The 27,156-nt window shown below is 38.7% G+C and overlaps 2 protein-coding genes across 5 annotated transcripts in view, besides 1 other annotated feature; one reads left to right on the forward strand and one right to left on the reverse strand.

The window, feature by feature from the left end:
- ERCC8 (ERCC excision repair 8, CSA ubiquitin ligase complex subunit) overlaps positions 1 to 21,049 on the reverse strand; it is a 78,617-nt gene extending 57,568 nt beyond the window's left edge. For 3 of the 4 annotated variants that reach the window (NM_001290285.2, NM_000082.4, NM_001007234.3), the window contains exons 1-2: positions 20,911 to 21,049; positions 4,843 to 4,938 (exon numbers count right to left, since the gene is read on the reverse strand). Coding sequence is in view for 2 of the 4 variants with exons in the window: in NM_000082.4 (NP_000073.1) it covers positions 4,843 to 4,938; positions 20,911 to 20,987 (173 nt within the window). In the remaining 2 variants the exon portion in view is untranslated. Of the gene's footprint in view, positions 1 to 269; positions 488 to 4,842; positions 4,939 to 20,910 lie in introns of all 4 variants that reach the window. The other variant, NM_001007233.3, reaches the window with a different exon arrangement.
- The window catches only part of NDUFAF2 (NADH:ubiquinone oxidoreductase complex assembly factor 2), a 207,822-nt gene continuing 201,849 nt past the window's right edge, over positions 21,184 to 27,156 (forward strand). Inside the window, exon 1 of the mRNA NM_174889.5 lies at positions 21,184 to 21,361. Within this exon, the coding sequence (NP_777549.1) occupies positions 21,235 to 21,361 (127 nt within the window). The 5' untranslated portion in view covers positions 21,184 to 21,234. The remainder of the gene's footprint in view (positions 21,362 to 27,156) is intronic.
- Positions 21,820 to 21,949: an enhancer, noted in NCBI's record as "active region_22588". NCBI's record gives its function as "activates an Ori minimal core promoter by ATAC-STARR-seq in GM12878 lymphoblastoid cells {active_cell/tissue: GM12878}" and the evidence as "EXISTENCE:reporter gene assay evidence [ECO:0000049][PMID:35858748]".

Below are 27,156 nucleotides of genomic sequence, written 5' to 3' on the forward strand. Positions count from 1 at the left end.
AACTTTAAGCTATAGGTCTCCTCTACCTTTCTTCCTCCCTCCTGTACTTTTCCCCTCTCTTGTAATTTATTTGTTGCAAAAACCAGATCATTTGTCCTGTAATTTCCAGCCTGGACTTTGGTGACTGCATTCATGTGCTATAATTTAAAATAATTTCTATTTCCCATTGCTCTTTGTTGTGATGTGATATTAGCAGACAAACCAATATCTAGATCCATCAATTTATACATTTATATAAAGTGTTGCTATCTGCTAATATTATTGCTCACCGTCAATCCTTAAGTTGCTGTCTCTCTTGTCATTCTGGTTGAATGATTTCATTCTCTGGTTGATTCCTAAGGAATGGCTAATGAGAACAACAGTCTCTGAATTCTTGTGTTGTTGACAATTTATCCGTCCTTTTTGTATCTGAAATCAGTTTGGCTGGATATAAAATCCTTGACTCACATTTTATTTCCTTGAGCATCTTGGATAAGAAGCTTCATTTCTTCTGCCAGAAAGCCCAAAGTCAAAGTCTAGTGACAATATAAATCCCCCCCTCTTATATAAAGTTCCAGATCTTATTTATCCTAGAAAAGCTTTCTTGAATTATTGTTTTAATATTTATTCTGCTCTTTTGCCTTGGTTTCTTTTTTGGGAACTTCTATCATATGTTATGCTGGATCTTCTTTGCCTATGTTCTATATATACACCTCTTGAATTATTTTCCTCTGTTCATTTCTTTTTGGCTTTTAAAATTTTCCTCCTTTCTAGTTTCTATTTCTAAGGCATTACCTCTTCCATTTATTTGTGTTCTTTAAGTTTTAGTCAGTCTTCATTTCTGAAATATTTTTATTTCTAATTTTCTGAGTTTGAGCATCTCATTTCTGAGGTTTTCTAATAACTTAACATTATTCTCTCATTTATTATATGTTTATAAAACAACTTTTACCTAGTTTTGAAATATTAGGTTAGAGTTCTCATCTGTTTTATAGATACTTCTTTCCGGTGTGACTTCACTATCTGTAGCAGCTTTAGTCCACTTCTTATTCTCTTTGTTTTTATAATGATTTTGTAGGAACTTTGACCTTAATCCTATTCCTTTGCTCATTTTTATGTAAAATTAATTTTCTTAACCTTTTAGAATGGAGGCTTGACTTACAATAATGTTTAAATTTTATATATTAAAACATCCTCTTCTTCCCTTAAAAATTTTTTTTGGGGGGTAAGATTTCAAAATATGGAAGCTTACTTTCAGAGATTTCCTGTTTCTGTTCACCTTTCCAATTTTATCGGGGACATCTTTTTCCTTTGTTTCTATTGTCTCTGTACTGCTCAATTTGGATTCTATTTCCAGCAGTTTTCCTCAGTATATAGTTCTGTACTGGGGGCGCACTTTGACTGGTTAGCTCTTTGGAAAGATATTAGAGTCCAGACTGCTATAGCTCCTTCTGGTCTTACCATGGGCCACTCAAACATATCTACAATTAGAGTATGCCATCTTCTCCCAGTTTGAGCTGCTGTAGTCAAATTTGCTTGCTAAGTTTTCAACCAACCTGTTGGTTACTTTGGACTTATCCAGGTATATCAGATGCCTTATCGCTTTTTACTGCCTCCTCTAGCAAAAATGCTGGTAGTGCACAGATCTTTTAGTTGTCAGTGGTTTGTTCCCACTTATTCACAGTTTGGGGTTTGTAGGGATACTTCATGACCTAGTTTGGTTGTAAGTGTTAATCTGGTTTTTCCTATTTGCCATTTTTAGTCTCTTTATGTGTTTTAATGGAGAACTAGAGGAACATTAAAAACTGCATTGACATTGTCATCTTTCTTTCTTTTTTTCTGAGAAGAAGTCTCGCTCTGTAGCCCAGACTGGAGTACAGTGGCATGATCTCGGCTCACTGCAACCTCTGCCTCCCAGGTTCAAGTGATTCTCCTGCCTCAGCCTCCAGAGTAGCTGGGATTACGGGCACGCGCCACTGCACCTGGCTAATTTTTTCTATTTTTAGTAGAGACGGGGTTTCACCACGTTGGCCAGGCTGGTCTTGAACTCCTGACCTCAGGTAATCCGCCCGCCTCGGCCTCCCAAAGTGCTAGGATTACAGGTGTGAGCCACTGCACCCGGCCTGTCATCTTTCAAGAATGGCACCCAAACTACAGTTTTTGGCACTACATTCACTGAGTATTTTGATTGAAAGATTTTCATCTGATTTTGAACAAAATACAATTAAATGTAGAGGCAGTGCTATTTAACTCTCCAAGATAAGGAGCTTGTACCAGAAACAAACACACGTCTTTCTTCACTGAGAATGTCTTGTTACAAACATGTCTTAGCTCCTTTAAATGGTGTGTGTAATGATGTAGTAGATTTATGTTTTAGCACAAGATCCTTATCTTGTGACCCAGTCACAAATAGTTCATGAACTAGTAGCATGTATTGATTTATAGACTTGTTTTTAAGATAAATTCAATACCAATTTATAAAACAATAGGGTTAATTTAAAAGTAGTTATTTGAAGGCTCAAAAATCCAATTGATGGGCAGTAAAGAAAGACTGCTAATAATGCCCTACTTAGTTATTTTAAAAAATATTCCACATTAGCTTTATTACATTTTGTAGTTCAGTTACTCTAATTGTGTACATAGAGAAATATTTGTAAATTTTAACAACTACAACTTTTATTTAGATTGATAAAATGTTTGGACACAGTTGTGAGTTACATGTATACTACAACCAATTCCCAAAACACTTTTGCTTCGTAATTAATCTTCATGAAACGTTGCTTTTCTTGCCATACAGATGTATTATCAATATAAAACAAAATTATGTTAAAAGTTGAAATTTTAATCTTAATTGATATGGTATTTACAATAATGTCAGATGTTTTGACTCTGTTAAAATGGCTTCCAAAAGCTTTTCTCTGATTCCATTAACTTTCTATTTGAAGTATCTGATGGCACTGACATTAACTATGAGATACTTTTTGCTGATAGAGTATGAAGAGATATGGTTTCATGTTTTTATATAGACAAGAAAACTTAGTATTAAAGATGAATGAAATTAACTTAGAAGAATTTAAAAGGTATAAAAGAAAATTCAAGCTTCACAGAGTGATACGCAAATGCACCCTCTGCAGTTGCACCTGTTAAACTGTAATTTTCAGATACTTTTTGTAAAATAACACCTTACTTTGAAAATCTCTGCCAGATTTGTGTATTCTGTCTGGTTTCCAATCTGATTTTCAGTGACACCTTTACAGCTCTCATGGTGGATGGTAAATATTAACAGGTGTTTTGAACAAGTTATATACACATCGATTTTTTTAGTTTTCCACAGAATGTACGCTTTCCTTTTAATATCTCTTGTTGCTATCAAAAGGGGTTAATGCAAAATACAAGTCTTAGCAAACAATGAAATAGTTGTAGACTTTTACCGTGCAATAAAGCGGAAAATCACTGTAGCAAGAGTCTTCAGACTTTTCTCTATGTGCTGTATTAAAAGATGCCTCATCTGCATTTCTCAAATATATTTCATGCACATATAATCTGTAACTTCCCATATTTCTCACCAACTCTGCCAACTGGTAGTCTACTGGCTTCTCATACATCACAGGCCACACAACTGATTACTACACCAAGTGGCTGGCTGGAGTAACAGTATTGATTACTTTCCTGACCAGCATCCAAACCCAAAAGTCAGCTATCTCCTGCTGCTCATGTCTGCATGTTTCATAAGTGAGTGCCCCCCCAGCTGTCCTTGAATAGAAGGTGTTACACTGAGCCTGGAAAAGGTCAGGAAAAAGAAAAGAATTATTACTCATCTTTTAGATTTAACCACATGCTAAAGTAAGATGTTTCTCATATACTAGTAGATGAGACCATGGTGGAAGCTGGAAGTAAAAAGTGGAAGTTTATCAAATCTGTTCTGACTTGACTTAATGTATTAATAATAATATTTCAGTATAAAATAAAAATTCTGGGGGAAATGCTAAACATACCATAACACCAAAAACTGTTTCCTTTAGTTAATGCTATATGTGGCCTAATTATAGGCCACATGAAACATACCATAACACAAACTGCTTCCTTTAGTTAATGCTATATGTGGCCTAATTGTAGGCCACATGAAAGGTTTTGTACGGTCTTTTAAGAGTAATGCAGTGTTATGACGAATTGTAAGTAGGAGAATATGTTCAGAATTGAGTTTTTCAAAGCATTTTGGCTGCTGTGTAGAGACTGGGCTGAAAGGAGTAAAAGTATATGTAATACTGCTTTTGATTAATAGTGGCAGCAGTGGTGGCAACTGTTTATGACGTGCCAGGTCTTACGTTAATCATGTTGTGCATATTATCTCAATCTTCAAAACAAGCTTGTTAGGTAGGTACTATTGTTCCCATTGTATAGCTAAGGCAACTGATAATTCGAAAGGTTAGGTAAGGGTAAAGCCAGGAAGAACTCAAATATAATTCTTATTTGTTTCTAATCTAATTCTTCAAAAGAGTCTTTCACTTTTTATATTTATTTTACCATTAGACTTTTTTGAGAGTAGCAACTATGTTTTAAAATAGCACCTAAAGACACATTCTAGCACCTAAAAGCCCTCTGCATCCAAAAGAAGTTCAATGTTTGTTAATTTAACAATAAGTAAATATTTATATTAAAGTAGCTTGGAAATGTTTATTTGACAACATTTGGTAGGTTCGATGTTTTGTATTTACTTGAAATTAATAATGCCAGATTCAAAAATGCTACAATTTAGGATTTTCATTAATTTTAATGAAACTTCTACATCATTAATTTGAAAAAGCAGGTTTTACTGCATTTCACTTAGAAAGAAAAATGATTATACAAGTATAATAAACTTACTATCTCCCTTCAACAGGTTCAATGTCAAGGGTGTTAATTCCACCGCCGTGGATTCTTTCAACATCTCTGTCTTTATTTAATTCCAGTCCCAAAACTCTTAAAAATAAAAGGGGGAGAAAGAAATTAACAAGTAATTTAACATTTAAAAATTTCTTATTTAACCAAGATTACTTATGGTACAAAAATCACAAGAAATGTCTAAATCTTCTACCACACATCCTAACGTATTTATAGATTTTTAGACATCTTGTATAAATGTTTAAAATATCAGCAGTAGTAACAATTACATGCAAACTTTTAAAGGTATTTAAAGACGGAAATTTGTACGAAAAAAGTTAAATTCTGATAAATGTAGCTGAGGACATCTAATGGACAAAAGCATAAATTACAGGATTAAAAAAATTCCTTGAAATGTTTCTTAAAGACGGACAGAAATAAAAAATGAGTATGGGCTGGGTGCAGTGGCTCATGCCTGTAATCCTAGCGCTTTGGGAGGCTGAGGTGAGAAGACTCCCTGAGACCAGGAGTTGGAAAGCACCCCAGGCAACATAGCGAGACCCCATCTCTACAAAAAATAAAATAAAAATAAGCTGGGCATGGTGGTGGGCTCCTATGCAGGAGACTGAGGCAGGAGGATTGCTTGAGCCCAGGAGTTCAAGGATGCAGTGAGCCATAATCACTTCATTGCACTCCAGCCTGGGTGACAGAGTGAGATCCTGTCTTAAAAGAAAAGAGACTATGTTCAACTTAACATTTATGTGTATTTAAATAAAGCCACTTAAATATCAATACAAATAATTAACAAGTACTCTCACAAACTAAGACAAATGACATTTCTGATATTTTATAACTGTAAACCATCATTATCCTGGTGAGCATATTATTAAGATTAAATGAGTTTGTATATAAAAGGTGCTAATTACAATGCCTAGTACATTGTAAGTATCTAGCGAATATTAACTATTTGAATCTCTCTTAATCTGTTGGCTGTTATTAGCATCTACACTAATTTAACCAGAATTATTTCTAAATTCATTATTGATTAAAATAATGCTAGTTTAAATATCAAATTATAAATTTTTGGCCTATAAAATTATCAGTTTTTTAAAAAGATAACAATGCACAATGCTGGAAAGGCATAAACTGATACTTTCATTCATTGACATTAGTACAAGTAATTATAAGCATTTTGGAAATCATTTTAGCAGTATAAAGTATCTGATTTGAAGATATACATGGCCCTTTGTCTTCTAGACATTACATATAGTACAACAATGACAAGCAGGCCAGGCGCAGTGGCTCATGCCTGTAATCCTAGCACTCTGGGAGGCTGAGGTGGGCGGATCACCTAAGGTGAGGAGTTCGAGACCAGCCTGGCCAACATGGCTAAACCCTGTCTCTACTAAAAATACAAAAATTAGGCTAGGTGCGGCGGCTCATGCCTGTTATTCCAGGACTTTGGGAGGCCGAGGATCACAAGGTTACAAGATTGAGACCATTCTGGCCAACATGGTGAAACCCCGTCTCTACTAAAAATACAAAAATTAGCTGGGCGTGGTGGCCTGTGCCTGTAATCCCAGCTACTTGGGAGGCTGAGGTAGGAGAATCACTTCAACCTGGGAGGCGGAGGTTGCAGTAAGCCGAGATCACACCACTGCACTCCAGCCTGGGTGATAAGAGCAAGACTCCGTCTAAAAACAAAAACAAAAACAAACTAAAAAATGAGCCAGGCCTAGTGGCGTATGCCTGTAATCCCAGAGGCTGAGGCAGGAGAATCGCTTGAACCCAGGAGGCAGAGGTTGCAGTGAGCCGAGATCGCGCCACTGCACTCCAGCCTGGGTGACATTTATTGCAATACATCTATATACATTGCAATTTAGCCTTAGGTTTAAATATCCAGACAAACAGTAATGAGTTATCTGACTTTGATCAATAACAATAACAGCTAATATAAAAAGCCAGGCCGGGCATGGTGGCTCATGCCTGTAATCCCAGCACTTTGGGAGGCCAAGGAGGCCGGATCACTTGAGGTCAGCGATTCAAGATCAGCCTGGCCAACATGGTGAAACCCCGTCTCTACTAAAAATACAAAAAAATTAGCCAGGTGTGGTGGGGCATGCCTATAATCCCAGCTACTCAGGAGGCTGAGGTGAGAAAATTGCTTGAACTCAGGGGACGGAGGTTGCAGTGAGCTGAGATCATGCCACTGCACTCTATACTCCAACCTGGGTGACAAAGCAAGCAAGACTCCGTCTCAAAAAAAAAAAAAGCCTACTACTCATTGTAATAGGTAGTAATAAGAAGTGTAATAAGTGGTAGTCCCAGGAGTGGTGATTATTATTAAATGCATCTCCTGATTATAAGATTAATAGAAGAGTAATTTGCCCAAGGTCACACAGCTAATATTTGGCTGAGCCGCATTTGAACTTTAACATTAAATTTTTTTTTAAATTTACTTTTAGAGACAGGGTCTTCCTCTGTCACCCAGGCTGGAGTGCAATGGCAAAATCATAGTTCACTATAGCCTCAAACTCCTGGGCTTAAGGGATCCTCTTGCCTCAGCCTCCCAAATAGCTAGGACTACAATTGCATGTTACCACACCTGGCTAAGTTTTGGTATTTTTTTGCAGAGATGAAGTATTGCTATGTTGCCCAGGCTGGTTTGGAACTCCTGGCCTCAAGCAATCCTCTCACCTTCACCTCCCAAAGTACTGGGATTACAGGTGTGAGCCACCACATTCAGCCCTGAACTTTGACATTCTTTCCCCAGACCACTATGCTGTTCTGTCATTTCTGAACTTCAATATTTCATCAAAACTTTTTTTTTCATATTTTTCCATTGAAATTGCCATTTTTCTGAAAATATTTTTCCATATGATCATTTTTCAAATTACAACAGAATATATGCTCTTTGTAACAAGTAAAAACAGTATCATTCAAACATGTATAAAGGTAATCATCTTTTCCTTCAGCTCCCTCTTCCTAACAGTAAGAAGCATGGCTCCCAGTAAGAAGCATGGCTCCCATTACTACCAATATATTTATCAATCCCCTGTATGTAACCAATCTCCCATCTCCACTACCATCCCCTCCCCCAACAGCTTGGGCTCTGATTTCTGTCTCCTCTAAAATCCTTATCACCTAAATTTGTATGTCCCCACAATTAAACTACTTCCTCAACCTGCTCAGGCTCTGAAATTCCACTCTAGGAAACCTAATCCCATACTAAGTGAGAAAGCTTACCTCTGCCCAACATAATGACTTCAGGACTGAATTGTCTGTGAACTAGAAGGAGAGTTTAAGATGAAGGGAAAAGGGCAATAATACTATAAAGGGAAAGAGAGGTGGGGAGTGGCAGGAGACAAGGTGTACAAAACATAGGTTAACATAGCAGGCCTGAGACGGCTACCCTTAAAAAGTTCTGCTTGCAAGATTGGCTCTTGGTTACAGTCTGGGATTTCAGGAGGGTGCCCACCATGACTGGATAAGAATGGCTCACTGTGCCTAAACTATTTGAGAAAATAATGTGCTTTATGATGAATACCTGCTCTACTTTTGGGAGTCTGGAATTTTGGTACATGCTAGATAGAGGGTGCCTTTATGAACGGTACCCAGTAAAAACCTTCAACATTGAGTCTCTAATGAGCTTCCCTGATAGACATTTCACATATGTTGTCACAATTTGTTGCTAAAGGAATAGAGTGTGTCCTGTGTGACTCCACTAGGAAAGGATTCTTGGAAGCCTGTGCCTGGTTTCCTCCACACTTTGCCCATGCACCTATTCCCTTTGCTGAGTTTATCTTGTATCTTTTCACTGTAATAAATCACAGTCATGAGTAATTGAGTCATAATTAAATGCTGAGTTCTCAGCCCTTCTAGAAAATCATAAAACCTGGGGATGGTCTTGAGGACTTCCCCCAACACAATGGCATAGGAGTAGAGGGAAAAGAGAAGGGAAAATGGGCAAGGAGAGAGGAAAGAGTAGACACATAAAGGAGGGAGGGTAAAAAGGGAAAGAGAAGAGGGAAGGCAGAAGAGCCTGGGGTAGAAGGGTAAGGACAAAAAGCAAGCCCTGGTGTCTTTTAAAATCACCTTTCCAATCTCTTTTTTATATAAAAGCATTGCTTACTGGTTATTAATAGCTAGCATTCACTTGGCTTAGTTCGTTTCCATGCCAAACTGATTGTTAAATATTTTATCAGTCTCTTGCTTCTTCTATGGCACATGCTTGCCCAAATTTCCTATTTAATTTCAGTTTTTACCTTTTATTTTTGTTTTAATGTTTTAAATGGCTTTTATAGGATGTATATTATATGTATGTATATCTATGTATGCATTTTTTCCTTTTTTTTCTTTTTTTTTTTTTTTTTTTTGAGACGGAGTCTCACTCTGTCACCCAGGCTGGAGTGCTGTGGTGCAATCTCGGCTCACTGCAACCTCCAACTCCCAGGTTCAAGTGATTCTCCTGCCTCAGCCACCTGAGTAGCTGGGATTATAGGCATCTGCCACCACACCTGGCTAATTTTTGTATTTTTAGTAGAGATGGGGTTTCACCATGTTGGCCAGGCTGGTCTCAAACTCCTGACTGCAGGTGATTCACCTCCTTGGCCTCCCAAAGTGCTGGGATTACAGGTGTGAGCCACCATGCCCAGCCCCTGTATTTTCTATCTACTATATATTACTTAGTTTTTGTTTTACTTTTTTGAATTTTTAGAATTTTTTATTTATCAATAGGTTTTGGGGGGAACAGGTGGTGTTTGGTTACATAAGTTCTTCAGTGGTGATTTCTGAGATTTTGGGGTACCCATCACCCAAGCAGTACATACTGTACCCAATGTGCAGTCTTTTAACCTTCACCCCACTTCCACCCTTTCCCCCGAGTCCCCAAAGTCCACTGTATCATTCTTATGCCTTTGTGTCCTCCATAGCTCAGCTCCCACTTATGAGTGAGAACATACAATATTTGGTTTTCCATTCCTGAGTTTCTTCACTTACAATATGGTCTCCAATTCCACCCAGGTCACTGTAAAAGCCATGATTTCATTCCTTTTTATGGCTGAGTAGTATTCCATGATACACACACACACACACACAACCACATTTTCTTTATCCACTTGTTGATTGATATGCATTTGGGCTGGTTCTATATTTTTGCACTTGCGAATTGTGCTGTTATAAACATGCATGTGTGAGTATCTTTTTTGTATAATGACTTCTCTTCTACTAGGTGGATACCCGGGAGTGGGAATGCTGGATCAAATGGTAGTACTACTTTTAGTTCTTTAAGGAATCTCCACACTGTTTTCCATAGTGGTGGTACTAGTTGACATTCCCACTGGCAGTGGAAAAGTGTTCCCTTTTCACCATATCCATGCCAACATCTACTATATTTTGATTTTTTGATTATGGTCATTCTTGCAGGACTAAGGTAATATCACATTGTGGTTTTGATTTGCACATCTCTAATCACTAGTGATGTTGAGCATTTTGTCATATTTGTTGGCCATTTGTATATCTTCTTTTGAGAACTGTCTATCCATGTCAGCCCACTTTTTGTTGGGATTGTTTATCTTTTTCTTGATTTGAGTTCCTTGAATATTCTGGATATTAGTCCTCTGTTGGATGTATAGGTTGTGAAGATTTTCTTCCACTCTGTGGGTTGTCTGTTTACTCTGCTGATTATTTCTTTTGCTGTGCAGTTTAATTAAGACCTATCTATTTATCTTTGTTTTTGTCGTGTTTGCTTTTCGGTTCTTGGTCATGAAGTCTTTGCCTAGGCCAATGTCTAGAAGGGTTTTATCAATGTTATCTTCTAGAATTTTTATGGCTTCAGGTCTTAGATTTAAGTCTCTGATCCATCTTGAGTTGATTTTTGTAGAAGGTGAGAGATGAAGATCCATTTTCATTTTCCTCCATGTGGCTTGCCAATTGTCCCAGGACTATTTGTTGAATAGGGTGTCCTTTCCCCACTTTAGGTTTTTGTTTGCTTTGCTGAAGATCAGCTAGCTGTAAGTATTTGGCTCTACTTGTGGGTTCTCCACTCTGTTCCGTTGGTCTATATGCCTATTTTTATTACCACTAGCATGCTGTTTTGGTGACTATGGCCTTATAGTATAGTTTGAAGAAGGGTAAGGTGATGCCTCCAGATTTGTTCTTTTTGCTTAGTCTTGTTTTGGCTATGCAGGCTCTTTTTTCCTAGTTCTGTGAAGAATGATGGTGGTATTTGATGGAAGTTGCATTGAATTTGTAGATTGTTTTTGGCAGTATGGTTATTTTCGCAATATTGATTCTACCCATCCAAATGTAGAATTTAGCTGTGTTTCCATTTGTTTGTGTCATCCATGATTTCTTTCAGCAGTGTTTTGTCTTGTAGAGGTCTTTTACCTCCCTGGCTAGGTATATTCCTAAGTATTTTATTTTTCTTTTTTGAAGCTATTATAAAAGGGGTTGAGTTTTTGATTTGATCCTCAGCTTGGTCACTGTTGGTGTATAGCAGAGCTACTGACTTGTGTATGTTAATTTTGTATCCTGAAACTTCGCTGAATTCATTTACCAGTTCTAGGAGCTTTTTGGATGAGTCTTTAGGGTTTTCTAGGTATACAATCATGTTATCAGTAAACAGCAACAGTTTTACTTCCTCTTTACTGATTTGGGTGTCCTTGATTTCTTTCTCTTGTCTGATTGCTCTGGCTGGGACTTCCAGCACTATGTTGAATAGAAGTGGTGAAAGTGGGCATCCTTGTCTTGTTTCAGTTCTCAGGGGGAATGCTTCCCAACTTTTCCCCTTTCAGTATAATGTTGGCTGTGGGTTTGCTATAGATGGCTTTTATTACCTTAAGGTATGTCACTTCTATGCTGATTTTGCTGAGGGTTTTAATCATAATGGGATGCTGGATTTTGTCAGATGCTTTTTCTGCATCTATTGAGATAATCATCTGATTTTTGTTTTTAATTCTGTTTGTGTGGTGTATCACCTTTATGGACTTGCATATGTTAAACCATCCCTGCATTCCTGGTATGAAACCCACTTGATCATGGTGGATTATATTTTTTATATGCTGCTGGATTTGGTTAGCAAGTATTTTGTTGGGGGTTTTTGCATCTATGTTCATCAGGGATGTTGGTCTGCGGTTGTCTTTGTTCTTTCCTGGTTTTGGTATTAGCATGATATTGGCTTCACAGGAGGATTTAGGGAGGAATCCCTCTTTATCTTTTGGAACAGTGTCAATAGGATTGATACAAATTCTTCTTTGAATGTCTGATATAATTCAGCTGTGAGTCTGTACCTAAACTTTTTTTGGTAACTTTTTTATTACCATTTCAATCTCATTGCTTGTTGCTGGTCTGTCCAGGGTTTCTATTTTTTCCTGGTTTAATCTAGGAGGGTTGCGTATTTCCAGGAATTTATTCATCTCCTCTAAGTTTTCTAGTTTATGTGCATAAAGATGTTGATAGTAGCCTTGAATGATCTTTTGTATTTCTGTAGTAAGGGTTGTAATATCTCCCATTTTGTTTCTAATTGAATTTACCAGATCTTCTCTCTTCTTTTGTTGGTTAATCTAGCTAATGGTCTATCAATTTTATTTATCTTTTGAAAGAACCAGCTTTTTGTTGCATTTATCTTTTGTGTTTTGTTGTTGTTGTCCTTTCAATTTCATTTATTTCTGCTCTGATCTTGGTTATTTTTTTTCTTCTGTTGGGTTTGGGTTTGGTTTGCTGTTTCTCCAGTTCCTTGAGGTATGCCCTTAGATTGTCTGTCTGTGCTGTTTCAGACTTCCTGAGGTATGCATTTAATGATATGAACTTTCATCTTAGCACCACTTTTGCTGTATCCCAGAGGTTTTGACAGGTTGTGTCACTATTATCATTCAGTTCAAAGAATTTTTTAATTTCCATCTTGATGTCAGGTATTCTATGTCAATTTTTTGTATTTATGTGAATCCTTTTCCCCTAAGGTGTGTGATCCTTTGGGGGTGTTAAACAACCTTGTTTTATCATATTACCAGAATTGTTTTTCTGATTACTTCTCATTTGGGTAGACTATGTCAGAGGGAAGATCTGGGACTCAAGGGCTGCTCTGCAGATTCTTTTGTCCCACGAGGTGCTCCCTTGATTTGGTGCTCTCCTCCTTCCCCTAAGGTTGGGGCTTCCTGAGAGCCAAACTGCAGTGATTGTTATTTCTCTTTTGGATCTAGCCAACCAGCAGAGCTACTGGGGTCTGGTTGGTACAGGGCAGTTTCTGCAAAGAGTCCTGTGATGTGATCTGTCTTCAGGTCTCTCAGCCGTGGATACCAGCACCGGCAACCGTAGAGGCAGCAGGGGAGTGAAGTGGCCTCTATGAGGGCCCTTGGTTGTATTTTTGTTAAATGTACTGGTTTTGTGTTGGTTGGCCTCCAGCCAGGAGGTGGCACTTTCAAGAGGGCATCAGCTGCAGTAGTATAGAAAGGATACATGCTTGCCCTAGGGTTAGGTGGTGGGCAGGCCGATAGAGCTCCCAGGAGATTATGTCTTTTGTCTTCAGCTACCAGGGCAGGTAGAGAAAAACCATCAGGTGGGAGCAGGGTTAGGCATGTCTGAGCTCAGATCTCCTTGGGTGAGGCTTGCCGCTGCTGCTGTGGTAGATGGGGGCATGGTTCCCAGGCCAATGGAGTTATGTTCCCAGGGGGATTATGGCTGCCTCTGCTGTGTCACACAGGTCACCAAGGAAGTTGGGGAAGGCCGGCAGCCAAAGGCTTCACCCAGCTCCCATGCAACCTACAGCCTAAAGGGCTGGTTTCACTCCCACTGCGCCCCTACAACAGCTCTGAGTTTATTTCCAGCAGGGCTGAGGACTTGCCCCAGGCTTTAAGCCACCCAGCTGAGAAAGCCAGCCAACTCACAGTTCCTTGGCTGTCCCACAGTGCCTGCAGCGGCAATCCACTTCCTTCAAAGGGTCTGTGGATCCTCTCCGCTTTCCTGGAGCGTTCCTGTGGTAGTTCTTATAGCAAAAGTTCACGATATGCATCTCCATACACTGCTCTGTCCATCTGAGTGGGAGCTGCCAAGTTAGTCCTGCCTCCTATACACCATTTCCTCTCATTCTCCTCTGTTTTAGTGTCTTAAGATGGCTACATATTCTTTTTGTTCAATGAGTTAATATGTATGCGTGTGTGTGTGTGTGTATACATACATACATACATACATACATATATATATATATATATATATATATATATATATATATTTTATTTTTTTTTTTTTTAGGTTACGAAGTTTCATTGAATATAAGTTTCTCTGGGTCCCCTAAGTTGTAGAAGTGGTTATTCTCCTTTTCCTTGATTTCCAACTTGTAACTTCAATTTTCATTTCATCTTTGATTCTGGAGTTTTCTGAAATGTAATTATGAATTTCCAAAACATGAGGTGGTGGTGATGTTACCATGAATTATTTCCAGTTTCTATACCTTATGATCAAAGAATGTGGCCTGTAAGATAGCTACCTTTTTGAATTTTTTTTTTTTTTTTTTTTTTGAGACGGAGTCTCGCTCTGTCGCCAGGCTGGAGTGCAGTGACACTATGTCGGCTCACTGCAACCTCTGTCTCCAGAGTTCAAGCGATTCTCCTGCCTCAGCCCCCCGAGTAGCTGGGATTACAGGCGTGTGCCACCACACCCGGCTAATTTTTGTATTTTTAGTAGAGACGGGGTTTCACCATGTTGGCCACGCTGGTCTCGAACTCCTGACCTCAGGTGATCCACCTGTCTCGGCCTCCCAAAGTGCTGGGATTACAGGCGTGAGCCACAGCGCCCGGCTGAATTTGTTAAAGTTTGCTTAGTGGCCAAGAACAATTTTGGTAAATGTACCACTGACTTACAAAAAGTATGTACGTTCTCCACTTAAGGGATGTAAAGTCATGTATCTACTAAATCTAGTTTGTTGTTTCTTCATTTCCTCCATATATATGTAGCTTTATATAATGTCCTTCTTTAAAATGTTTGGTGCTTTTAACCTTAAATCTTACCTTACCTAATATTCGTAGTGATGTCCACATTTTGTTTACAGTTGTCTGATCTCTCTTTATCCTTTAACTTTTTAACTATTCAAGAATTTTGTAAAGTATTTTAAAATATTTTAACTTAATGTATTTATGAGAAACAGCTTTTAGCTTTATTTGTTTTAAAAATTAATCTGATAATATATGCTTCTTAATGGAAGAAATCAGCCTGTTCACCTTTGTTATGACATCTGATATACTTGGTATTATTCCTTCTTTACTTAATGTCATGGTTTCTTCTTTTACCTTTACTTTTGCTAGTTTAATGAAGTTGCTATTCATTTCCATCTTGTCAATTGAGAAGTGTCTAAAAAAAATTTCGCAGCCATATTATATATTTCCAGCTTGTTTATTATTATATATTTACATTTAATCATACACATACTGCAAGGTTCATAGGTTTCCTCTCCTCTTCATCTTTAATGTTCCTTCGGATTTCATTCAAATACATTTGGTTTTTGATTAACGTTCTTTCCTAATTTTTTTCCTGAAGGGAAATTGGGTAAAATATTTCTATGGACCTTAGCACAAAGATATTTCTTCTGATAGACTGGTTTGTTTGGATTCCCCGGTTGCAATACTTCTTTTTTTTAATTTTTAGATAACTTTTAGTTGCTTTTTGAGACAGAGTCTCGCTCTGTCACCCAGGCTGGAGGGTGGCACAGTCTCAGTTCACTGCAACCTCCACCAAGAGATCCTCGTGCCTCAGCCACGTGAGTAGCTGGGATTACAGGCACCTGCCACCGCACCCGGAGCACGCCCGGCTGATTTTTGGATTTTTAGTAGAGATGGGGTTTTGCCATGTTGCCCAGGCTGGTCTCGAACACCTGAGCTCAAGTGATCCACCTGCCTTGGCCTCCCAAAGTGCTGGGATTACAGGCTGCAATACTTCTTTCTTGTTAGTAGGTATCATTCCAGTGTTTTCTAGTCTCTAGAACTACTGATGAGATGTTTTACCTTTATGAATGGTAAATTCTTTACCATTAGAAGCTTTTAATAATATTTTCTTCATTGCTAGATAAATTTACTAGGTATACATACTTTTATGTCTTTTTTATCAATCTTGTCTGGACTTCAGTGAGCCCTTTGAGTCTATGAATCCAGATCTTTTGCAATTCTTTTTCTTTATTACTATTTGTTTTGTTCTCCCTCTGGAACTATTATTGTCTGCTAGATCTTTTGAATCTACCCTCCTAATCTCTTATCATTTTCATTACTGGTCTTTTAATTCTTGTTTTATGAGTTGTGATATTTAATTTGATAATTTCATTCATTATTCAATACTTCAGTTCTGGGTAATACTACTATAAAAACTAAACAAAATGCAGAGACAGCTACTTGAGGACTCTGAAAAGTAAACAGCCACAGACAATCCCATGACAGAAATGGCTATGGCTACGCATAGTGGCCTGCAGAAGCCAGAACTCTGAGGAAGGGAAATTGTTTTCTCTGTTCATCAGAGTCCCGATCCCAAGAGGGTAGGGACAATCCCTGTTGTTTATTGCCTCTCTTCTCACTTCTGAGCCCAGACTTGGGCCTAAACTTGGAAGCGTATGGCAGAACAGGGTAACTGAACCCTAAAGTTTCTGGCTAGATGGCCAAAACAGGGAGTCCCAGAGAACTGGGAAGCATCCAGGAGATCACAGAGAAGAAGGAGCTCAGGAAAGTGATCCCATAAAGTTGTTTATAAACTCCAGAACTCATCCCTGAGTGAGGCATGCATAGATCTAACCCTGAGTCGTATACAAAGGATTTTGAAAATTGAGCTAATCACTCAGGTCACAGTCTGACCATTGAATGGCATACACCTGGGGAAGATCTGAAGAGACTTTGAAAACTGAGCTAACATTAAAACTACAGTCCATAAGTAGGTAGGTTCTTGTAGCCTGAACCTAATCTTGCTAATTAAATGTTAAAACAAAAATATCAACATTCTTCATAGGATCAAAACAAGACCCAGAGTATTCAAAATGTCCAGGATGCAAATCCAAAATTTCCCTGCATATAAAGAACCGTGAAAATTTCAACTTGCATGGGAAAAGACAAACAAAACAAGCCAAAGCTGAGATGACACAAGTGTTGAGATTATCTGATAAAGACTTCAAGGCAACCATTGTAAAATGCTTGAACTTGAGCAACACTGGCATGGTGGCCCGAGCCTGTAATCCCAGTGACTCTTGTGAAGCTGAGGCAGGGGGACTGCTTCAGCCTAGGAGTTCAGGACCAGCCTGGGCAAAACAGTGAGGCCTCATCTCTAAAAATAAAAAAAAAGCTTGAGTAAGCCATTGTGCACACACTTGAAACAGATGTTAAAACAGAAAGTCTCAGCAAAGAAATAGAAGACATAAATAAAAGCCAAATGGAAATTTTAGTTTTCAATATAAAATTATTTTAACTTAATGTATTCACTAACAGATTGGAGATGGCAGAGGAAAAAATCTGTGAACTTGAAGATAGATCCATTAAAATTATACAATCTAACAATATAGAGGAAAAAAGATCGAAGGGAAAAAGAACAAAGCCTTAGGGATCAGAGGAACAATTATAAAAGGACTAACATTTTTGTCATTGGAGGTCTAGAAGGAGAAGAGAAAGAGTGTAGTGTTGAAAAAACATTGGAAAAAATGGCTGGAAAGTTCCCAAGTTTATGGAAAGATATAAGTCTACAAGTTCAAGAAGCAGAATGAACCCTAACTAGGATAAATCCAAAGAGATCTGCAACCAGACACATCATAATTAAACTGCTGAAAACTAAAGACGAAGTCTTCAAAGCAACCAGAGAAAAATGATAAATTACCTATAGGAAAACAATGATTTGAATGGCTGCAGATTCCTTTTCAGAAACCATTAGACCTACTCTAAAAAAATTGATAAACTATATTCTTCAGAGACAAGAAAAAGATATAAGAAGGAAATTTGAGGCATCAGGAATAAAGAGACAGCAACAGAAATAACTATCTGGTTAAATATAATGGCTACTTTTTTCCTTAAAATATGATTGATGGTTGGAAAAAATTATAATGTCTGATAGAGTATATAATGTATGTAAATATAAAATATAAGACAACAATATATATATGGTGCAGGGGAAAGGGTGATAAGGTTTCTATATGCCAAATGAAGCAGTAAAACAATGAAATGATCCGAAGTAGACAACGAAAAGTAAGTATTTTATAATTCCTAGAGCAGCCACTAAAGAATTATACAAAAAGATATAGTCAAAACCATAGTATATAAAATAGAATACTAAATAATGTTCAAACAGTCAAATGAAAGCAGGAAAGGGGAAACATAAATATGGAGCAGCTAGCACTCTCACCTATTAGTGGTGGGACTGGAAAATGCTTTTGGAAAACTGTCAGTTTCTTAAAAAGTAAAGGATTTATCTAGTAGCTCCACTGTTATGCATTAACTTCAGAGAAATAAAAGCATATGTTCATACAATGACTCATACATGAATTTTCAGAGCAGCTGTAAATGTATTAGTCCTGAACTGGAAACAACTCAGATGTCCATCGACAAGTGACTAGATAAACTGTGGTATATCTGCACAGTGGGATACTCCACAGCAAAAAAAAGGAATTGATACATGCAATAACATGGAGAAATTTCAAAATAATGTAATTATGCTGAGTGAAAGAAGCCAGACAAAAAAGATTCCATTTATATAAAATACTAGATATGCAAACTAATCTATAGTGACCTAAAGCAGATTAGTAGTTTCTAGAGAAGGAAGAGGGTAAAGCAGAGAAAGAAGGGAGACAGGGATTATAAATGACCGTCAAAAATTTTTTAGGGTTATGGATGTTCTCTTGATTATGGTAATGGTTTCAAAAGTAAATATATGTCAAAATTCATCAAATTGTATATTCTCATTTAATGTGCAGGGTATTGCATGTCAATTATACCTCAATAAAGTTGTAAAATGTTTTTTTAGAGGGTGTAAACTGTGAACACTGCATATCAGTGTTCATCCTTTTGCTCTTACATGATGACAAGGAAGAACAGTAGACATCTCCTATGAATAAAATGGAACTATATAATTGTTTAAGCAAAAACATCACTTAATGATGGAAATATTTTTAAAAAAATTTTAGGCTGTGTGGTAGCTCGCACATATAATCCCGGCACTTTAGGAGGCAAAGGCAGGAGGATCACTTCAGCCCAGGAGTTCAAGACCAGAATGGGAAACATAGGGAGACCCCATCTCTACGAAAAATTTAAAAATTAGCTAGGTGTGTGGGCACATGTCTGTGGTCCCAGCTACTTAGGAGGATGAGATGGGAGGATCATTTGAGCCTGGAAAGTCGAGGCTGCAGTGAGCTGTAACTGCACCACTGCATTCCAGCCTGGGTGACAGAGCAAGACCCTGCCTCAAAAAAAAAATATTTTTTTAATTTTTAAATACTTTATTTGTCTTAAACGTATAAGCAATCCTCACTTGGCACAGTCTGATATGAATTTCAGTTACCACAGTTTATTAACCGTGAGAAATAGCATAAAAGTTTGCTACTAGCTTTTCAGTTCACAAATCATTACATAAATAACATATGAATCAAAATTGACCAATTTGCAATTTTACTTCTTTCAAAGTCTATGGGTGATTGGTCACTGTGCATCTGTTATTCAGTTCACACACAGGCTGCAAAGCATGGAGGTTTGTTATTAATATTTCTGTGCCCTTGAGATAAACCCACATGGAATTTTACAGATTAAAAGAGGAAATTGGCCAAAAGAATGAAAGTGCACTAAAGAAGAGTGATAATACTAGAAGTGAAACTTGCATTAAACATAAATGGAGCAAATGAAAAAAAAGCTGCCTGTGGGAACATGCTGATTGTGGCAACAATGACACTGCCGCCATTTGAGACATTCTAGATATGCAGACTGAGGAAATCAGTGAAGGTGAACTTATAGACATAAATGAGGAAAAGTGATTGTGATGAAAGGCTGATGATGTGTCAGAGGAAGTGACACTGGCAAAAAAAACACATTAAAGGAACTCTCAGAGATATTTCACAACATTGAAAACGTAATGGATAAAATGTTGGAAACTAATATTTAAATTTCTCCAGAACGCAGAACTCATAAGCAACTGTGTTCTCCAAGTAAATATCTTCACAGGTTCCTCAATTAATGTGGGCAAAATTAAAAGTACAACTTGCTTCTTCCCTTTGGAAAACCCTCTCTCAGAGTATATTACCAACATTCAACTTCTTATACAAGGCATAGATCTGGGAATCATTATTCATTCTTCTCTTTTTGTCATTCACGTATCCACTCAATTTCCATGGCCTGTTGATTCTATTTCTCAGACGTTGTTCAAATCTCTCCACTATCTTTATTCTACTTGGCAACTCTGTGGCCCAGGCTTCCAACAACTCTCTCCCGGACAAGTGTAATCACAACAGTTACCTAACTTGGCTCCCACTCTTGTTCTCAGTTGCAACCCATTCTCCAAGCAGAAAACAAAATGCAATAGCTGTTACCTTATTCTCATCTTCACACCTCTACTCAAGTACACAAGGCTCTTCCTCATCTAGTTTCTGTCTACTTCATCTCTTGTCAATGGTCCCTACCCCAATTCTCCGCTCTAGTCATTCTGAACTTTGTTCAATTCCTGGCCTGTGTCCTCTGCCTTTAATAGGCTGCCTGGCACACTGTAGGAATTCACTAAATATGCAGACTGAATGAATGAACGAGTCCGTGGAGGGCAGTTATTCTTTGGAGTAACTTAAGAGAGAAGGAATACAGTACAACGAAGTATTCTTATTTAGGTTTATAGTGTCTTCACCTGAGCCCGCGGGGGAACCCCCCCCCCACCCCCGGGGAACCCCCCCCACCCCCGCCGCCCCCCGCCTGCAAGTTGTTACCAGTAAATAAAAGGGATCCTATTTTAGCAAGCCACACAGCATTAGAGGGCAAATAATAGTTTGGTGGCAGGAGAGCGATGAGACGGGAAAGTGTGGGGCAAAGCTTACAGTCATTGGTCCAGATTCTAACTGGCCTGTTAGCCAAAAAGTAAGGTTTTCTTTACCTCCGTGTTGACTCTGCTCTCCGAAGGCGAAGAGGGTCCTCCAAACCCGTTTGGCGTGCGGACAAAAACCCCAGCATATCGTGTCCTCACACCGGCTGGAGCACTGGACGTCGCCATGACAGAGCTCAGGGGCGGGACTGGAACAGCAGAGTCTCCCATTGGTCAGTCGGTGATATATCCGGCCAATGGTGAGCGCCGTTACTAGAAGGGCTCCAGGATGGAGGCCGACCTGACTTCTCCGCCTCGGTGGGCTGGGTCGGCGGCTGGAGCATTACCCCTACTGCGGGTCCCGCTGCTGGCAGCGCTGGAAACTGGGTGGACGGCATGGGTTGGTCTCAGGATTTGTTCCGCGCCTTGTGGAGATCGCTGTCAAGGGAAGTGAAGGAGCACGTGGGCACGGACCAATTCGGGAACAAATACTACTACATCCCGCAGTACAAGAACTGGAGAGGTGAGGTGGCGGCGTGGGCAGCGATTGCGTGGTCAGTGATTGCGAGGTCAGTAAAGGAGGGAAAAGTGAGAGCCCCTAGTCAACTAACGCATCATGCGACACTTAGGGTGTCACCGGAGAGAATTTCCCGAGTTCGTTCTCCCCTGTCGACCCCTTCACTCTGGCATCGGAGCCCTACCCGGCCCGGCTCTGGGCGCCTTGGCCCGGCCTCGTGCGTCCGCGGTCCCTACTACCCAGCGCCTTCCCCCGGCGTGCCCCGGGCTGCTTGCGCTGTTAAGGCGCACCACCACTTTCCTCCCAGCCACGCCTGTAGAGGAGCCTCAGTTTTAGCCCTGGACTGGCGACGGAGGCAGGGAAAAGTCCACGGAAATCTTTCACCAAAGGGGCTAGAAGGGCCAGGGGAGGGGTTTTTCGTACGCTGTTCCCCGCCTTGTGACCCAGAGCTGAGTGGTGTAATTGAAGAGGAGTATCTTCAGCGCCTCGGCTGTCTTCTTTCTTGGTGTTTACCCTTTTCGGTGGCACCCTGGCTCCGGCGCTGGCCCCATGCGCCTTCCTTACTACCAAGACTTGTCAGAAGTAGGTCCATATCCCCACAAGGCTCGCTGATTCCTTTCTCGGGAGTTGACATTCCAAGACCCCGTTGAGCTCAATTTAAGAAACGTGGCAATAATCATGGTGTTACTGTGTAGGATTCGTGCCAAGTAGTTGAGCGGGTTGTTTGGGGAGTAAGGAGGCGTTGCTGTCCATTGAAATCACACTGTGTAGCCGCCGTCGTAACCTCTTCTGTGTTGTTCCATCGCCGCATGCAGAAAATGTCAGGTTTTGGGCGAAGAGGCGTGGGTTAGAATCTCAGCTTTGACACCTGATAGCTCGGGAATCACGGAAAAAGTACTTGTCCTCTCCAAGTCTCAACATCCTCACTTGAAAGTTAGAGATAATATAAGATCAGCAATGTTGAGAAGCACTAAGACCTTTCCAAGATTATGTGCCATTCATTTCCCACACATATAAAATGTATTCTGTGATTTATCACTCAATTAATTTATTTTTGCCTGGCCTTTTTCTGTAACTTATTTTAATATTTAGACTTGTTTCCCTAATGAGCTCCTCTGTCAGGCAGGGAATATGTCTCACAAAAAAAGAAAAAAGCCTGCAAAGAACATAGCATGGTGTTAAGTATTTCTTGACAGGTTGCAAGCAGAGAGATGTTTCTTTTCCATAAGTTGTCAGTAAAATTAAAAATATGCAAACTGTCAGACTGAGTTTTTTTAAATTGAAATATAATTTACATACAGTAACATTCACCCTTTATGGTGTACAGTTTTATTGTTTTTGACAAATGAGTAGAGTAACCTCACTGGATTCAAGTAATAGAATAATTCCATCACCATCAGAATTTCCTCCAACTCCTTAGTAGTTCATTCCCACACCCTTTGGCAACTACTGATGTGTTTTATGGGCCTATAGTTTTGTCTTTTCTAGAATATCATATAAATGGAATTATACAGGATTTAGACTTTTGAGTCTGGCTTGCTTCACATAGCATAATGTAGCTGAGATTCATCCATGTGTCAGTAGTTGTTCCTTTTTATTGCTCAGTAGTATTCCATTGTATGGGTTTGCCAGTTTATCTGTTCACAAGCTGAAGGACATTAGGATGTTTCCAGTTTCTGTGATTGTGACAAAAGCTCTACAAACATTCCCATACAGGATTTGTGTGAACGTAAGTTTTCATATCTCTTGGGTAAATATCTAGTAGTGGGATTACTAAGTTGTGTGATCAATGTGTGTTTAACTTTATGAGAAACTACCAAACTGTTTTTCAAAGTGGCTGTACCATTTTGTATTCCTGCCAGCAATGCATTAAAATTCTAGTTGTTTCCACACCCTCACCAGCACTTAGTATTATCTGATTTTTGGGTGTGTTTTTATTTTTATTTTAGCCATTTTGATAGGTATATAGTGGTATCTCATTGTGATTTTAAGTTTCATTTTCCTAATGCCTGAGGATGTTGACAGTCTTTTCATGTGCTTATTTACTATCTACAGATCTTCGGTGAAGTATTGTTCAAACCTTTTGCCCATTAAAAAATCCATTTATGGCTGGGTCCGGTGGCTCATGCCTGTAATCCCACCACTTTGGGAGGCCGAGGTGGGTGGATCACCTGAGATCAGGAGTTCCAGACCAGCCTGGCCAACATGGTGAAACCCCATCTCTACTAAAAATACAAAAATTAGCTGGGCATGGTGGCACGCGCCTGTAATCCCAGCTAGTCGGGAGGCTAAGGCAGGAAAATCACTTGAACCTGGGAGGCGGATGTTGCAGTGAGCCGAGATCACACCACTGCACTCCAGCCTGGGTGACAGAGTGAGACTCCACCTCAAAAAAAAAAAAAAAAAACAAGCCCAAAAAACAACAAACAAATATATTTATACCAGTTTTTGTATCATTCATTTATATAGAGATACAATACCATTAAAGTTTCAAATTAACAGTCATGTCTATTCTACAATAACATGAATATTTTATTTTTACATATTCTCACTAATTTGTATATTTTCTTACATAATTGTAATTGCATTTTGAGAGTTTTATTGAAGTATAATTGACAAAAAAAATTGCCCATGCTTAAAATGTATAATTTGGTAAGTTTTGACATATGTATATATCTGTGAAACCATCAACACAGTCAAGAAAATTAACATATTCAATATCCACAACAATTTGTTGTGCTCCTTTCTAGTCTTGCCTTATGCTTCTGCTTCCATGGATAGGCACTCATCTGATTTCTGACACTATACATTAGTTTGTATTTTTTATAATTTTTATTTAGTTATTTTTATTTGTTTATTTTGAGATGGAGTCTCGCCCTGTCGCCCAGGCTGGAGTGCAGTGGCGCTATCTCGGCTTACTGCAACCTCTGCCTCCCAGGTTCAAGTGATTCTCCTGCGTCAGCCTCCCAAGTAACTGAGATGTGTGCCACCCTGCCCAGTTAACTTTTTGTATCTTTAGTAGAGACGGGGTTTCACCATGTTGGTTAGGCTGGTCTTGAACTCCTGGCTTTGTGATCTGCCTGCCTCGGCCTCCCAAAGTGCTGGGATTACAGATGTGAGACAGTGCGCCTGGCTAGAATTTTATTTAAGTGGAAGCATACAGCACATATTCTGCTTTTTTTTTTTTTTGTTTTTTAGGTTCTTCACTCAGCATAATTATTTTGAGATTCATCCATGTTTTTGTGTTTATCAGTAGTTTATTTCTTTTTAATGCTGAGTAATATTCCATTGTATGTATATACCATAATTTGTTTATCCATTCACCTGTTCATAGATATTTGGGTTGTTTCTAGTTAGGGGTTATTACAAATAAATTATGAACATTCATGTGTAAGTCTTTGTATGGACTTATGTTTTTATTTCTCTTGATGTAATATTTAGAAATGGAATGGCTGAGTCAACTTGTTAGGTGTATGTTTAACTTCTTAAGAAACTGCCTAAGTGGTGGTACCGTTTTACCTTCCCACCAGGAGTGTATGAGATTTCCAGTTGTCCTATATCCTTATCAACACTTGGTATGGTCAGTCTTTTTAATTTTAGCTCTTCTAGTAGGTGTGTTGTGGTATCTCATTTTTTTTCTTTAGTTTTCTGTTTGCTATTAGTTGGTTTTTTTAGATTCTATTTTTAAAATACAGTAAAATTAACTTTTAAAATTGGTGTATAGTTCTATAAATTTGAACACATGTGATTCATGTAACCAACACCAAAATCAGGATACAGAACAGTTCCGTCACCCTGAATAACTCCCTCATGCTACCTTTTTGTAGTTACAATCTCTCCTCATCCCTAACCTCAGCAACCACTGATTTGTTCTCTGCCATTATACTTTTTTCCATTTGAGACTGTCCCACATGTATACTTATACCATATGTAACCTTTTGAACCTGGCTTCTTCTATTCAGCATAATGCCTTTGAGATTCATTACGTATATCAGTAGTTTGCTCCTTTTTACTGCTGATTAGTATTCCATGTTAATGGATGTACCAGTTTGTTCATTTACTCATTAAAGGGCATTTGAGTTTAGTTACTTGCAGTTTTTGGTGATTATGAATACAGCTGCAAGAAACATTCACATATGGGTTTCGTGTGAACATAAGTTTTCATTTTCCATGAGTACATACCTAAGAGTGTGAGTGCTTGGCCATAGCAGCTCCAGCTTACTCTGTAAAACGGAAATAACAGTACCTACTTAGCCTCACAAAGTATTTTTGCTACTCAAGAGAGACAAATTGGATAACGTAGCATTTAAGAGAATGGGATTTAATGTCGAAATCAGTTTGACTTAATTCACAGAGACCTTTTACTTGGTCATTTTTAAAAATTTATCACTGATTTGTAGTTTTCAGCATAGAGATCATGATATGTTTTGTTAAATTTATTATAAAGTATATTATATTGTATTGTTATTATAAATGATGCTTTAAAAAACGTAATTTCTAATTCTTTGTTACTATTATATTGAAGTACAATAGATTTTTCCATGTTGAGCATGTATCTTGCAACCTGTTTTACTCACCTACTAGTTCTTGAATGAAGCCTTTTGCAGATCCTTTGGACATTCTCTGTAGGTAATTATATCAACTGTGGATAGAGACAGTTTTGTTTTTATCCTTTCTAACTTATTTGCATTCTATTTCCTTCTCTTGCCTGGCTGCACTAGATGAGCCTCCAGTATAATGTTGAATAAGAGTGGTGAGCATAGGTATCTTTTTCTTGTTCCATATCTTAGAAGAAAAACATTTAATCTTTCATTTTTTTTTTCCCCAAAGGTGGAATTTCGCTCTCGTTGCCCAGGCTGGAGTGCAATAGCGTGATCTTGGCTCATTGCAACCTCCACCTCCTGGTTTCAAGCGATTTTTCTGCCTCAGCCTCCTGAGTATCTGGGATTACAGGCATGTGCCACTATGCCTGGCTAATTTTTTATTTTTAGGAGAGATGGGGTTCGCCATGTTGGACAGGCTGGTCTCGAACTCCTGACCTCAGATGATCTGCCCACCTTGGCCTCCTAAAGTGCTGGGATTACAGGCATGAGCCACCACGCCTGGCCACTACTCTTTCATTGTTAAGTGTGGTGTTAGCTATAATTTTTTAGATACCTTTTATTAAATTAACAAAGTTCCCTGTCTGTACCTCGTTTGCTGAGCGCTTTCTCTTATGAATCGATGTTGAATTTTGTCAATTTTGTCACATGCTTGCTTGCTGGGTTTTTTTTTTTTTTTTGGTTCTGTTGGAATGATCATGTGGTGAATTTATACTGATTGACTTTTAAAAATTAATAGACTTTATTTTTTAGAGCAATTTTAGGTTTACAGAAAAATTGAATGGAAACTACTCAGATATTCCTGCTCCCCCAATGCAGTTTCTCCCATTGTTAATATCTTGCATTAATGTGTCCTCACTTCCTCCCTTCCTGCTACCAAACCCCTAGCAACCACTGATCTTTTTACTGTCTCTGTAGTTTTGCCTTTTCCAGAATGTCATGTAGTTGCTGTCATATAGTATGTGATCTTTTCAGACTGGCTTCTTTCACTTAGTAATATGCACTTAAGTTTCCTCCATGTTTTTTTGTGGCATAATAGCTCCTTTCTTTTTATTTATTTATTTATTTTTGAGACAGAGTCTCACTCTGTCGCCCAGGCTGGAGTGCAGTAGTGCGATATTGGCTCGGTGCAACCTCTGCCTCTCAGGTTCAAGTGATTCTCCTGCCTCAGCCTCTCGAGTAGCTGGGATTACAGGTGCC

The sequence above is a fragment of the Homo sapiens genome, chromosome 5 (assembly GCF_000001405.40).
Source record: "Homo sapiens chromosome 5, GRCh38.p14 Primary Assembly".
NCBI classification, from domain to species: domain Eukaryota; kingdom Metazoa; phylum Chordata; class Mammalia; order Primates; family Hominidae; genus Homo; species Homo sapiens.